At 34.5% G+C, this 13915-nt stretch overlaps 1 protein-coding gene and 1 long non-coding RNA gene across 5 annotated transcripts in view; one reads left to right on the forward strand and one right to left on the reverse strand.

Annotated features, from left to right (window-relative positions):
- MEI4 (meiotic double-stranded break formation protein 4) overlaps positions 1-5648 on the forward strand; it is a 276772-nt gene extending 271124 nt beyond the window's left edge. For all 4 annotated transcript variants that reach the window (NM_001282136.3, NM_001322247.2, XM_017010155.2 and 1 more), the window contains one exon: positions 1692-5648. In NM_001282136.3, the coding sequence (NP_001269065.1) occupies positions 1692-1949 (258 nt within the window). In that variant the 3' untranslated portion in view covers positions 1950-5648. The remainder of the gene's footprint in view (positions 1-1691) is intronic.
- Positions 4484-13915, reverse strand: part of LOC105377865 (uncharacterized) — a 374941-nt gene continuing 365509 nt past the window's right edge. Inside the window, exons 5-6 of the long non-coding RNA XR_002956359.2 lie at positions 8790-8931; positions 4484-4548 (exon numbers count right to left, since the gene is read on the reverse strand). This is a non-coding gene — a long non-coding RNA (uncharacterized LOC105377865). The remainder of the gene's footprint in view (positions 4549-8789; positions 8932-13915) is intronic.

The raw sequence follows: 13915 nt of genomic DNA on the forward strand, positions 1-13915 counted from the left end.
TAAGTGAATATTGTGATTGGTTTGGTCTTGTATTCAGGCCACTACAATTTTTTCCATGTTACCAGTCGGGCTGTTTCCCCTTCTTATTATTTGTGTGTTCAGTGGAAGAGAACTTTACTTTTAATTTCCTTCAAGAACTCTTTCTTTGAATTTACAACTTGGTTAACTTTGGCACAAGTCCTAGCTTTTGGCCTGTCTCAGATTTTGACATGCCTTCTTCACTAAGCTTAATGATTTCTAGCTTTTGATTTAAAATTGGAGATAGGCAACTCTTTCTTTCACTTGAACACTTAGAGGCCATTTGTAGGGTTATTAATTGGCCTGATTTCAATATTGTTTTGTCTCAGAGAATAAGGAGGCCTAAGGAGAGTAAGGGAGATAGGTAATGGCCAATTGGTGAAGCAGTCAGAACACACACACTTATCAGTTAAGTTCACCATCTGATATGGGCATGGTTTGTGGTATCTCAAAACAAAGTAGTAACATCATGGATGACTGATTGCAGATCACTGTAACAGATAAAGTAACAGTGAAAAATTTGAAATATTGTGATAATTACCAGTATGTGACACAGATACAAAGTGAGCACATGTTGGAAAAATGACTCTGATAGACTAGTTTGATGCAGGGTTGCCACAAACCTTCAATTTGAAAAAATTGCAATATCTGGGAGGTACAATAATGTAAAGCACACTAAAATGAGGTATGCCTGTATATATCTTACTCTGCTTATTGGGTCACCTTGTTGAAGAATATATTTGTCTCAACTCTAAAAGAATGTTCTTTCATTTTTGTATTAATACAGTGAAAATATTTCGTAAATGTTCCCAAAGGAGTTTTCTTTTTTTCTCAATGTTAATACTTTCTTAATGAATTTGAACAAAAATGTACCAGGAAAATAAAAAAAGTTCTGTGGATTTGAGTTCTAATTAGTCTACTTTTCAGAGGATCCATTTCCTTGACTGTGGAATAGTGATAAACTATCTGCTCACCTCATAGGGCTTCTGACACATTTCTTAATTAATTAGCTAATGATAAAGCCAGTTTTCATTTTTATACTGATTCTGCCATTCTCTCATTTTATGCTTGCTATTGTCTAGTTTTTAGGCCTTTCTGTGACTTGACTTATCTATCTCACATTCAACCATCTAGTCCAAATTAAAAGTTCTACAAGATGCATCTACATTTCTTCTCATGACTATGTATATGATTCAATGCTACCCCTCCCTGAGTTGAGTTGTATCAGGAAGATTCAGTATGATATCACATCTATTCCCCTATAGATGATGAACCTACTACTCTGGGATTGTTTTATATCAAAATAAGTACCATGAATTCAAAAGTTTTGGCAAAAGATTGAATTTAACACTGGTATGACTCCTTGCCAAGTCACTGTTAAGACCCCTTGCCAAGTATTCTCAGATTCATTTGAGTATTCTCTGCAAGAATGCAGGGAAAGGATTTGGAGCTTCATGAAACAGCAAGAAAGAAAAGTCATTCACCATGATTGTAAAGTCTTTGAATAAAGGAAATGTTTTTTATTTCCCCCTTGTTCACCAGTGACAGGATGACAGAAGGTGTTAAATATTTCAAATATATTTCGTTTGCCTGAAACTCTGATATCTTTATATGACATTTTTCTTAGGTAATTTATACCCAATTTTTTAAAGGAGTTTGTTGTTTATTTGTAGGAGCAAGCCAGTTATGATGTGTCACGCTATGAAAACATTTTCTACCTGTTCTGGGTTCTGGAGCAGCTTCTTCAAAAGGAAACCGAAGAAGGCAACACTTCAAGTATAGGTCATGATGACCAAGAAATCAAGAAATTTCTTCAGAAGCATGATGAAACTATTTTCCAACTTTCTGATGCATTTCCTTTGTTTACTTTTTATTTATGGAGAGTGGGCATTCTTTTGAGCTCAGCACAGATAGAAACTCTTAGAAAATAACTCCATTCCTTAGCAATTTACCACGTTTGAAGCATAATAAAGTAGAATATATGAAAATCTCATACTGAAAAGATTTTCAATAGTATTTTAATTAGCATTTTAGAATTGATCTCTAAATATAATTATCAATTCAACTTAATGGTTAGTCTTAAATTGTATGAAATTTTATGAGTCATATTTCTATACTAAAATCAGCCAGTTTCGGTTGGTAATGCCATCCTTATTCCCATGTAACTGTATCTTATTTCACTCAATATAGTTTAGCTCTATTATTCTGTAAAATGGACCATTAATTGTCTGTCCCTTAAAAGATATTGAAGTTGTAAAAGATTTCCATATAATTGATGCTAAATGGTAATCAAAGAAAGAGATTTTTAAAGAAGTTTAGTTGCATTATCAACACAAAGTGTTGGAATATAAGAAGTGGTCATAAATGCAATTTTTAAAACTTTTTCTTACATAGTTGAACTTATATCATTGCTTTCACCTTAGACGAGAATCATATAGAAGTAGAACTTTTTTAACATTTGGAAACTTAATTGCTTTTTATTTATTTCAATTTCATATGGCTAATACATTTGTCGAGCTCTTTTGAAAATACTATTAATTAGTTGTTTAAAATGTTCTTTGTTTTTCAACAAATACTTGTTTCAATTCTGTTAATTAAATATGTTATAATAGTCTTGTAATTGTTAAATAGTATACAATTAAGTCACTAGACATATTTTATAAATTCTAATATCCATCTAAAAGTGAAATTTATAGTTATTTGGTGGAATTTTTCAGTTATACAATTTCATTGACTTCATTTCAATGATTAAAATCATAACCGCAAACTTAATGAGCATATGTTACATTTCCTATAGTGCCATTTAGGGAACACAAAATATAAATTTCCTTTATTAATGATATGTGATGGTGTTTCATAAGTTAATTAGCATTCCTAAATGTCGTTGGCATTAAAAGTAATCTTGATAATTCCATCTACAATGTATATACAATTATGTCATCTGGCACAAACAATTATCTTTGGAATTATTTCTAGCATTTTTGAAAAGATAATGCCTTTTTGATAATCCTGAAACTACATGTATGTCAGTCAGCTTTTGTTATGTGACAGATAGATAATCAATCACAAAATATCTATCAGTGGCATACAACAATAATATTTCTCAGATATATGCAGGTCACTCAAGGATCAGCTGATTTGGACTGGACTTGACTTTAATGAAAAGCTCTGCTGAGGTTGCACATACCACAGGAATAGGCTTCTTGCTAAAAGTCAGGCTTTCTTCTCTTCCACATGTGCATATTCTGAGAACCAGACTTGGGGGATAGTAGCTTCTCAGTGGAAGCTCCTCTCATGGCAGTGGCAATTGAGCAAGACGAAAGGCTAGGCTGAGAAATGTCACATTAGCACTTCCATCCACATGCATTGTCAAAGTACATCAAATGGTCAAGCCCAAAGAAAAGTGACTGACAGGGGAGTAGACTTGAGTGGGAGAACTTGCAGTTACAGGGCAATGAGCATGGATGTAGGTAGGTAATTATTAGGGCCAATAATTTACTTCACAACAAGTACCAGTTGAATACAAGAAGTATATTCCAAATCTTGGATTAGGAGGGATTTTTCTAATGTCTGATTCCTGTGAACACCTGTGAAGGCTTATGGAAGTCACTTCAGTTGATATAGCATTACACAAAATCCACTTTCCATGACACCTTCATCTTCTTTCATTGTGATTAAACAAGATTGGTAAATACACAAGTATCAGCAATGGCCCTTTCCCTATTGCAGCCAGCCAACGTAATGATCAGCTAAGAGACTTTTGGAGCTACAACAAATTTATTAATTTCAGTGGTCTCCAAGGCTTCAAGGTCTGAAAATTAGCCTAGGAAATATATTTATTATAAAAGAAGATGCAAGATGTTGGGATCACTGTGAATGCACAAAATGGAGAAACATTTTATTTCCATTTGGTATCCATTTTATATAAACATTTAACTTCCACCAAGTATATGATACTTTAATTATCCTGGGTTTCAGTCTATATCAGAGTGAATGGTGTAGTAAATTAGTATTAAGGTCCAAATCTACTGGTCAAAAAGAAGATAAAATGATAAAATGAGACATTTTTATCTGTGTTTCAGTAAAGCAGTGAATTAATGAATGATTTAAACTGGTATTACAATGTTTAAGAATGTTATAACAGTTTATATTTAGGTAATGTCTAACTTTAGAATTAAGGTTTTAGGGATAAGAGTAATGGAGTCAGTAGTAATTGGGCAGCATTGAAACTGGATATAAGATAGGATAGGAAATAAAGAGAACCATAGAATGATCATAAAAATGAAGCAAATAAAAAGTGATGATAATTGCTATAACTCTTATACTATTTAATATAAGCTATAATAAATATATGATAATATATTTTATATGAGAGTAAATATATATTAAATATTTTATATACATTTATATAATAAAATATATGAATAAGTAATATTATACATATATATACGATATGTATAATAAATACCAAATAGCCAGGTACTTACCTAAGCATTTTACATATATTAAACTGTTTGATTCTCCCAGCACCTGTAATGAGAAAGGTACGATTATTTCCTGAATCTGTATTTTAGAGATGAAGAACTCAGAACTTGCCCAAGTTCACAACACCAGGAAGTGGCAGTTAGGTTTCATCCTGAGGCAGTCCATCTTCCAATTCCACACTCCTACTTTACTGCACTGCCTGTTATGTGCAGCTCTCCTGGCACTTCAGTAAACTTTCACAAACACAGCTTCTTTGCAATTGTCATCAAAGCTTTATACATGCTTAACTATGAACCTTAAGGCACAACAGTGGAAATTACTAGCTTATGATTAGCTTATTTTGGATTTTTTAATTGCTGTAAACAAGTTGTCCTATCTATAAGTAAACCAGAGGAACAGCATCTTTGACCTTTTCAGGGTTGTAGCATCTTGCTACTCAAGACTGTAGCCAAGTTACAGATTGTCTTCAAACGATAATGTCCTAAAAGGTACAGAGCTCCCTCCAGAGGTGTTTAGGTAGACTGTGAGGCTGTAATGATAAGCAAAATGGGGAGAGAAAACAAATCTGACTGGTTTGTTCTTGGAAAAATATATACGATTATCTCACAGGCCTTGTACTTTTTAATGGTATTTGTTGTCTTTTAGCCAAGGTCAGCATATTTCAAGAGAGGCAGGGAAACAAGGCATTTGCATTTCCAAAATTTTATGTACATTTACAGATTTTCTGAACGCCATATTATGGGGAAAATATTGACAGCTCTGCTTTATTGTAACCTAATTTCATTTATTCATCAAATATGAAGCACCAATTGTCTACAAACCAATTATTTGCAAAAATAAAACATACTAAGCTTTAACTTTTGTCAGATTTATGAAACCAAGCTTTCTCTTAGCAGTCAATATAATGACCCAACTACATCAATATTTGCTGAAGGAGATAATTAACTTGTTAATGTTTATCTAATATTGAAAAAATATATAGGATTTTATTATTGTTAAAAGTTAATTGATTCCGAATTATTTATAGAATTGTATAATACAAAATTTATCTGGTTAATAAATATACTGGTCTTGTAAGAACTTTCTAAATATTACAGAGTATTACAAACATAAAAAATAAACTCAGCCTCTTTTTTGTTTCTTAATATGAAAGTCCTTTGTTTTTATTTAATATGAAAGGAATTTTAAGGATCTATTCCTAATAGGAAGCAAAGCTTCTGAAAATAATGTTCTAACATTTAAGACATTTAAATAATTCAATTATATATTTCATAGGCATTTACCCTATATTTGTAGTATTTTCTTCTGATATTTTAATCTAAATTTTGCTCTAACTGCTTAAATTGTTGGTGAACTTTTGTTGTATTTCTGTCAGCAGTTGTGTTTATGTAAATGTTTAGTCAGTCCACTGAAGCAGCAAGATTTCCAGGTGATAACATTAATTAACCTTAGTTGTCTCTGACCATATATAAAACAGCGGTCCTCAAATGCGGTCCCCAACCCAGCCATATTAGCATCACTTGGAAATGTGTAAGAAATAAAAAATTTTAGGCAGTATGGCCATTTTCACGATATTGATTCTTCCTACCCATGAACATGGAATGTTCTTCCATTTGTTTGTATCCTCTTTTATTTCATTGAGCAGTGGTTTGTAGTTCTCCTTGAGGTAATTTATAGATCCAATGCCATCCCCATCAAGCTACCAATGACTTTCTTCACAGAACTGGAAAAAACTACTTTAAAGTTCATATGGAACCAAAAAAGAGCCCACATTGCCAAGTCAATCCTAAGCCAAAAGAACAAAGCTGGAGGCATGACGCTACCTGACTTCAAACTATACTACAAGCCTACAGTAACCAAAACAGCATGGTACTGGTACCAAAACAGAGATATAGACCAATGGAACAAAACAGAGCCCTCAGAAATAATGCCACATATCTACAACCATCTGACCTTTGAACAACCTGACAAAAACAAGAAATGGGGAAACGATTCCCTATTTAATAAATGGTGCTGGGAAAACTGGCTAGCCATATGTAGAAAGCTGAAACTGGATCCCTTCCTTACACCTTATACAAAAATTAATTCAAGACGGATTAAAGACTTACATGTTAGACCTAAAACCATAAAAACCCTAGAAGAAAACCTAGGCAATACCATTCGGGACATAGGCATGGGCAAGGACTTCATGTCTAAAACACCAAAAGCAATGGCAACAAAAGCCAAAATTGACAAATGGGATCTAATTAAACTAAAGAGCTTCTGCACAGCAAAAGAAACTACCATCAGAGTGAACAGGCAACCTACAGAATGGGAGAAAATTTTTGCAACCTACTCATCTGACAAAGGGCTAATATCCAGAATCTACAAAGAACTCTAACAAATTTACAAGAAAAAAACAACCCCATCAACAAGTGAGTGAAGGATATGAACAGACACTTCTCAAAAGAAGACATTTATGCAGCCAAAAGACAAATGAAAAAATGCTCATCATCACTGGCCATCAGAGAAATGCAAATCAAAACCACAATGAGATACCATCTCACACCAGTTAGAATGACAATCATTAAAAAGTCAGGAAACAACAGGTGTTGGAGAGGATGTGGAGAAATAGGAACACTTTTACACTGTTGGTGGGACTGTAAACTAGTTCAACCATTGTGGAAGTCAGTGTGGCGATTCCTCAGGGATCTAGAACTAGAAATACCATTTGACCCAGCCATCCCATTACTGGGTATATACCCAAAGGATTATAAATCATGCTGCTATAAGGACAAATGCACACCTATGTTTATTGTGGCACTATTCACAATAGCAAAGACTTGGAACCAAGCCAAATGTCCAACAATGATAGATTGGATTAAGAAAATGTGGCACATATACACCATGGAATACTATGCAACCATAAAAAATGATGAGTTCATGTCTTTTGTAGGGACATGGATGAAGCTGGAAACCATCATTCTCAGCAAACTATCACAAGGACAAAAAACCAAACACCGCATGTTCTCACTCATAGGTGGGAATTGAACAATGAGAACACATGGACACAGGAAGGGGAACATCACACACCGGGGCCTATTGTGGGGTGTGGGAGGGGGAGGGATAGCATTAGGAGATACACCTAATGTTAAATGATGAGTTAATGGGTGCAGCACACCAACATGGCACATGTATACATACGGAACAAACCTGCACGTTGTGCACATGTACCCTAAAACTTAAAGTATAATTTAAAAAAAAGATATAAAAAAGAAATAAAAATTTTAAGCCTTCACCCCAGACCTACTACAGGATCAGAAACACCGGGGTTGTGGTTCAGTAATCTGTGTTTTATCAAGTCTTCCAGGTGATTCTGATGTCCACCAATGTTTGAGAAGCACTAATATTGTTTTTACTGATTAGGAAGGTTTAATACTTATAAAATTATTCAGAAAGTAGAAATTTAGTCATCCCATAGTATTGATTTTTTTTAGGTTTCCTTATATGTGCCTTAAAATTCCGAAGGAAGATTTTTTGGAAACCAGATTATTCCAGGTTCACTGAAGTAGCATATTTATGAACAGATTAACCTTAATAGCACTTAAAAAATAGCATTTTAATACTTAGCTTTTAGCTCTCTTACTAAAATATATCTTTATTCCCCATAGTAGTACTTTAAAAATTATTATAATCTGGGTTTAGATCAAATTAACTATAGCTTTTTGCATTTGTCCTGGGATAGAGCAATGAATGTGCAGAGAGATGCACACATGGTGTTACTTTCCTCTTATTAGCTGCCCCAAGTAATATCAGAATATTCCTTTTATTCCAGGAGATCTGTTTAATACATGTAGTAAATATAACTGAATTATAAACATATTATTCTATTTCTCAACCCTAGAGATGGAATTGTAGCTGCCATGAATCCTTCTAGAATATGGTGAGCTATAAATAATTAATAAACAGTGCTTAATTTGGTTCAACTTTGCTGCTTAATTTGATTCTACCACTTTGGGTCTTTCCTATGTTACTGTGAGCTCCAGAGTTGCCTAAGGACAGCGCCCCTGACACATGAGGAGGGAACAGAACAATCTCTGCTGTTAGCTTTAACAACTTAACTAAGAAGATATTTTCATGAATAAGTAATCATTTCAGGAACACTGGAAATGCCAGACACTTAAACCAGCATTTGTTCTTATTTCTCTCTCAAACACACACTCAAATTCCACATTTTCTAAAAAGAGATCCAAACCTCTTGAAACGAATTCTGAAGTTTGAAAAAGAAAATATTTCCTATATTTTACCTGGAGTTTTTAAGGGGAGCCACCACAAGCAGTAACACGACCGTTGGTGCCTTTTTGTTCTATCCGGCATTGAGGACATGGAATACACCCTGGGATCTCGTGGCATGACATTTCTCTTTAGGATAGTTCCAGAGCCAGTCCACTGCAAAGAGTGACATGAACCTTTAAAATGAGGAGGGTAGCCAGGCACGGTAGCTCACACCTCTAATCCTAGCACTTTGGGAAGCTAAGGTAGGATGCTCGCTTGAGGCCAGGAGTTTGAGGTGAGCCTAGGTGACAGAGAAAAAACTTGTCTGTTTAAAAAAAAAAAAAAAAAAAAAGAAGAAGAAAAAATAGCATGTCCCCTTCCACCATGGCTCAGGACTAAGAAGTGGAGTTTGCCATAGCTGACTAGGCATTTTATCTTGCAACTTGATAAAACCTATTAATAGAAGAGAACATAAGAGACCAGGCGAAGCAAACACAGCCATTCCAAGTGCAAAATGGAAAAAAAAGCTAGAAGAAATGTTATAGAAATGTGAAGATGTCTCCAACTCCAAATTAATATGCTGATACTATTCCCAAGTGAAGACTTCAAAAAATAATTTCTAAGGCTTGTATAATCGTGGCTCATGTGGTGAATCCCTTTTAAATAGAATTCTATTCCAGAGATTCTATTTAAAAGAAAATCACGTACCATAATCCATATGGCTTTGCACCATCACTTTAGTAAGGCAGATAGTACCCAGCATTTATTTAGCCTTTCTGACATGTGCTAGGCACTCCATACTTGTTCTTTATTATTTTGTTTAATCCTTCTAACAACCCTATGAGGTAAGTATACTGATTATCTCCAATTAGGTGAAAAGCAAGCACAGGGCATTTAAGTAATTTGCCCAAGGTGAAAGCTAGAAAAAAAATCAAAACCAAGATTTAGATAGGCAGCAAGCAACTGAGTCAACATGTACTCCACATTCTTGGCACTCAGATACAAACAGCTGTCATGTTCCTAACTGCAGAAGTAGAAACTGAGTGTAGAGCATAAAGTTATCCTGACAGCAGAACTCCAGTTTGCACACTTCTTAAAGTGTTCTTTTTAGACATATGCAGCATGTGCTTATGATAATTATAGTGGTGGGAAATTTACATTATATTAAGTAAAATTTGATATTGAAATATTCCTTTATATTTGGAAGAATAAAAGAAGTGCAGTAAGATGTTAGAGATGGCCAAATTGGTGGCATTTATTTAAAAGAAATAGACGTAAATTCTACTTTGCTATCTGATTGCTTTGTAAGTCAGTCTGAGTAACACTTTCTGAGGATAAAGTGCGTTAAATCTTTCAAAACATAAGGATCAAGATCAGACATCCATACATGGATTAGAGTTAATTCCTAAGACTTAGAAGTGAAAATAAATAATACATTTGAAGCATAGTTTACACTAGCTTCAAAATTATACTTTTTGTCATAAAGGAGAAGAAAAAAATCTCTATTTCAGGATAAGCATTAATCAGTATGATCCTGTTGACAGTGTTTGACATTTCTGAACCATCTTATGAAGTTAGAAAGAAAATGTCTTTATAACTTTTTACATCACGAGAGAAAATATATAAAATTTAAATAATTAGAAACATCTCTGTGATATTTTCCCCCCAAAAAAACTTTATTTGGACAAATATTGTTTACTCATTTTTCTTAGGTATGGGGAAAAGATGTAAGGACTATTACTTGCTCTGTGCCTTGTCAATCAGCACTATATTAAAGTTTCATTTGAAAATAGGCCTTTCTGTTTCTTGCCATATTAAAATAGCAATGAAGCCCAGAGAGACCATTTTGCAGAAGATACAAGTAGAAGTGGGGAGGTGTGGGGTTGTGGGTGGAGATGGGAGGAAAGAGGGTAGAGGACCATCGTTGGCCAAGTAATCTTGTGACTTAGGACAAGTCATTTAATATTCTTATTTTCGCATTATAAAAGCATCTGTTTTTTATTCATAAAGTTAAAGAACAAAGACTATCTGTATTTCTGCTAGAATCACTTATGTATACATCACTAAAATCGTGAAATATAACTACCAATTATTATTAAATGTTAAATGTAACTATCAATTATTATTAAATGTTATTACCCAGAATTGGGGAGTTTTGTCTTTTTTCTGTCTCCATGGAGGTCCTTCAGTGATATAATTTTGTATATATCTATAAGGTCTAGTAGAATAGACTCACAGTTAAAAGATGAGAGTATCACTATCCATATCATAAAAATAAAATATCTTTTTTATTGTTAAAATTTTAAAGAAGAATACCTTCACCACAGAATTGTTTTTGCATGAATGAAGTTAATATATGTGAAAAGCACTTTGTGAACTCTAAAGTAATAATAATGATACTAAGAAAAGGAGATAACACTTATATGATGTTTATTATGTATCAGGCACTGTCCCAAGCACTTTTCATGTGTTATCTCATTCAGTTCTAATAACGACCCTATACAATAGGTAGTATTACTATTCCTATTAATTCCATTTTACATAGGAAGAAGCAGGTGCAGAGAGGTTCAGTGACGTGTCCAGAGTCACAGAGATAGATAGTGTCAGAGACAGTATTAAATTTTATGTATTCATATCTTCTCCTATTCCAAGTATTCTGCCTGAATTCTAAGTGGACTTAAAGCCAAACCATACTGAAATAGTTTCTTTCCCTGAATCTCTTCTCATTCAACCTATGTTTAATGGCAACTACGATGATTATGTTATAATAATGTTATATCAACATTAATATTAATGTTACTCATAATTTCTGTGTGCTTGAAACTGTGGAAAGTGCTTAATTATACACTTAACTTGTTAGTATGCCAGAGATGAATCAGTCCTTCAGAGATTTTCAGTTGGCGAGATCTGGAACCAGTGGTATATTTAGGAGACCTCTTTCCTACCAGTGAGGGAGCCATGGAATAGAATTCAGGTGCCTACAGCCTAGGTGACAATTCTTTGTGCAAGGTTCATATGCCCAGGCTTCCTGCCCTAGCTCCTTGTTACCATTCCAATTCTCCATGAATATGGATCCTGGCCCTTGCTCTGGCTAAGGATAGTGGATTTGGAAATAACATCCTAATTTCCTTTTGTGAATTTTCTTGCCGATTATGCACAGTCTTCTTTAAGGCTGAAAAATCAAGATGCTGTTTTTTTCTAGTTGAGAAGTGTTCACATATTTGCTAGGCCATTTGGAAACTCCTTCTCTGGAATGTCAATCCTGTGCAGAATCACTGAAATCAGTTGTAGGTCATCCTTTATGATGGCAACACACTGATGATGAAATTGTTGAGTAGTTCTTGCTGCTAAGCCCTCAGAGCTACCTGCTTCTTGCCTTTTTCCAAATATGATCTTCCAGCTTTCCAGTTGAATCTATGAGCTACCACAGTTGTTCTTTAAGCAAAGCTATAACTTGTCTGCTTATGTTAACCAAAGACAGTTTCTGTAGCTTAGACCCACTGATCCCTAACTAATATACCTATAGAACTACTGTCCTATTACCCTTCTTTGTTCCTATGAGTGCCTTCCAGAACATAGCTAGAACATGCTTGCAGTATTTTATTCTTCAGTTCTCTCAGCATCCAATGATACTCCAGCCACTAGCTAATACTGCATCAGTCAACATAGGCCTCATGTGAACTATAACTTTTTTAGTTACTTTGCACTAAAGTCCACTGTTCTTTGAAGCATAAGCTACCACACACCCACCATCTCCCAATCTGACCTGCCTGAACTGAATTTGAATTCTGCACAGCCCTTGGACCATGTGATTTCATTTATTGACAATTTCATTGGCAGTCCACTCAATTTTTCAACTGAAAAACCCTTCAAGTTCATTTATCCTCATTTTATAGATGATAAAACAATGTCGGAAAGATGAAACAGTAAGCTTGACTCACACAGTTGATTGGTTGAACTACAACTACTTTTTAAATAAAATTAATATGTGTAAATTTGATATTGGCCACTACACTTTGAACATTTTGGAAACTTTTTTTTTTTTTTTTTTTTTGAGACGGAGTCTTGCTCTGTTGCCCAGGCTGGAGTGCAGTGGTGTGATCTAGGCTCACTGCAACCTCTGTCTCCCAGGTTCAAGCAATTCTCCTGCCTCAGCCTTCAGGGTAGCTGGGATTACAGGCGTGCGCCAACATGCATGGCTAATTTTTTGTATTTTTACACATAGAGACAGGTTTTCACCTTGTTAGCCAGGATGGTCTCTATCTCGACCTCATGATCTGCCCACCTCGGCCTCCCAAAGTGCTGGGATTATACAGGTGTGAGCCACCGCACCCGCCACTGGAAGAGTATTTCAAAACTTAAATCTTGATGTTTAGCGTAGGTTTGTGCTATGTTTCTGGAACATAGTAAATGATCAATAGTTGTTGACTGCATTGCTGTATTAATTTCTAAACTTACTATTAGTTTCCTCATTCTCTGTCACACATGGGAGTTAGAAAAGATGAAGCATATTTTGCAATGGGGAACAATTTTCCAAATTGTGAATGATTTGCACCCAAGTAGGTGAGTGAATATAAGTTTGAAGCACCCTTGATGACTTCCAGTCCAGGCAACTCTCCTTTCCTTTCCTTCACAGGGACCATAACTGAATACAAATCTGCAAATCTAGTCACATAGGCAGATGTATTCTCTCTTGTAGTTATCTTGTTTCTAGATGCTGTTGCCTAGGTGAAGAATGAATTGAAATTTAGAAAATATTTTTTCTTTAGGAAAAAAATGTTGCCAATTGTGGGTAGTCATAAATCAAATAACACTACAAGGTACATTAAGTTCATCATGAATTAAGCTGACTTTATGTCCTGATGAAAAACCTCATCACTATGTATAAAATTATTTTTGTGAAAAAAATATATTCCATTTTTAGTTACCCTCCTTACAGATGAACTTGGGTGTCTCAACTCATTTGTAATATGTAGACTGATAATAGAAATTTCAAACCTTTTCCACCCTTGACAACCATAACTTGTTATAGTTTTTAACTAGGTTACTGAAGAACTGCATCAAGTGTTGCACAGCCTGTAGGTGACAAAGTTGTCATGTATGTCTTTTCCTTTAGTATCTAAAATAAAATAATGTTTAGAGAAAAGAATGTCTTGAG

This window comes from Homo sapiens, chromosome 6, assembly GCF_000001405.40.
Source record: "Homo sapiens chromosome 6, GRCh38.p14 Primary Assembly".
Taxonomy (NCBI): Eukaryota; Metazoa; Chordata; class Mammalia; order Primates; family Hominidae; genus Homo; species Homo sapiens.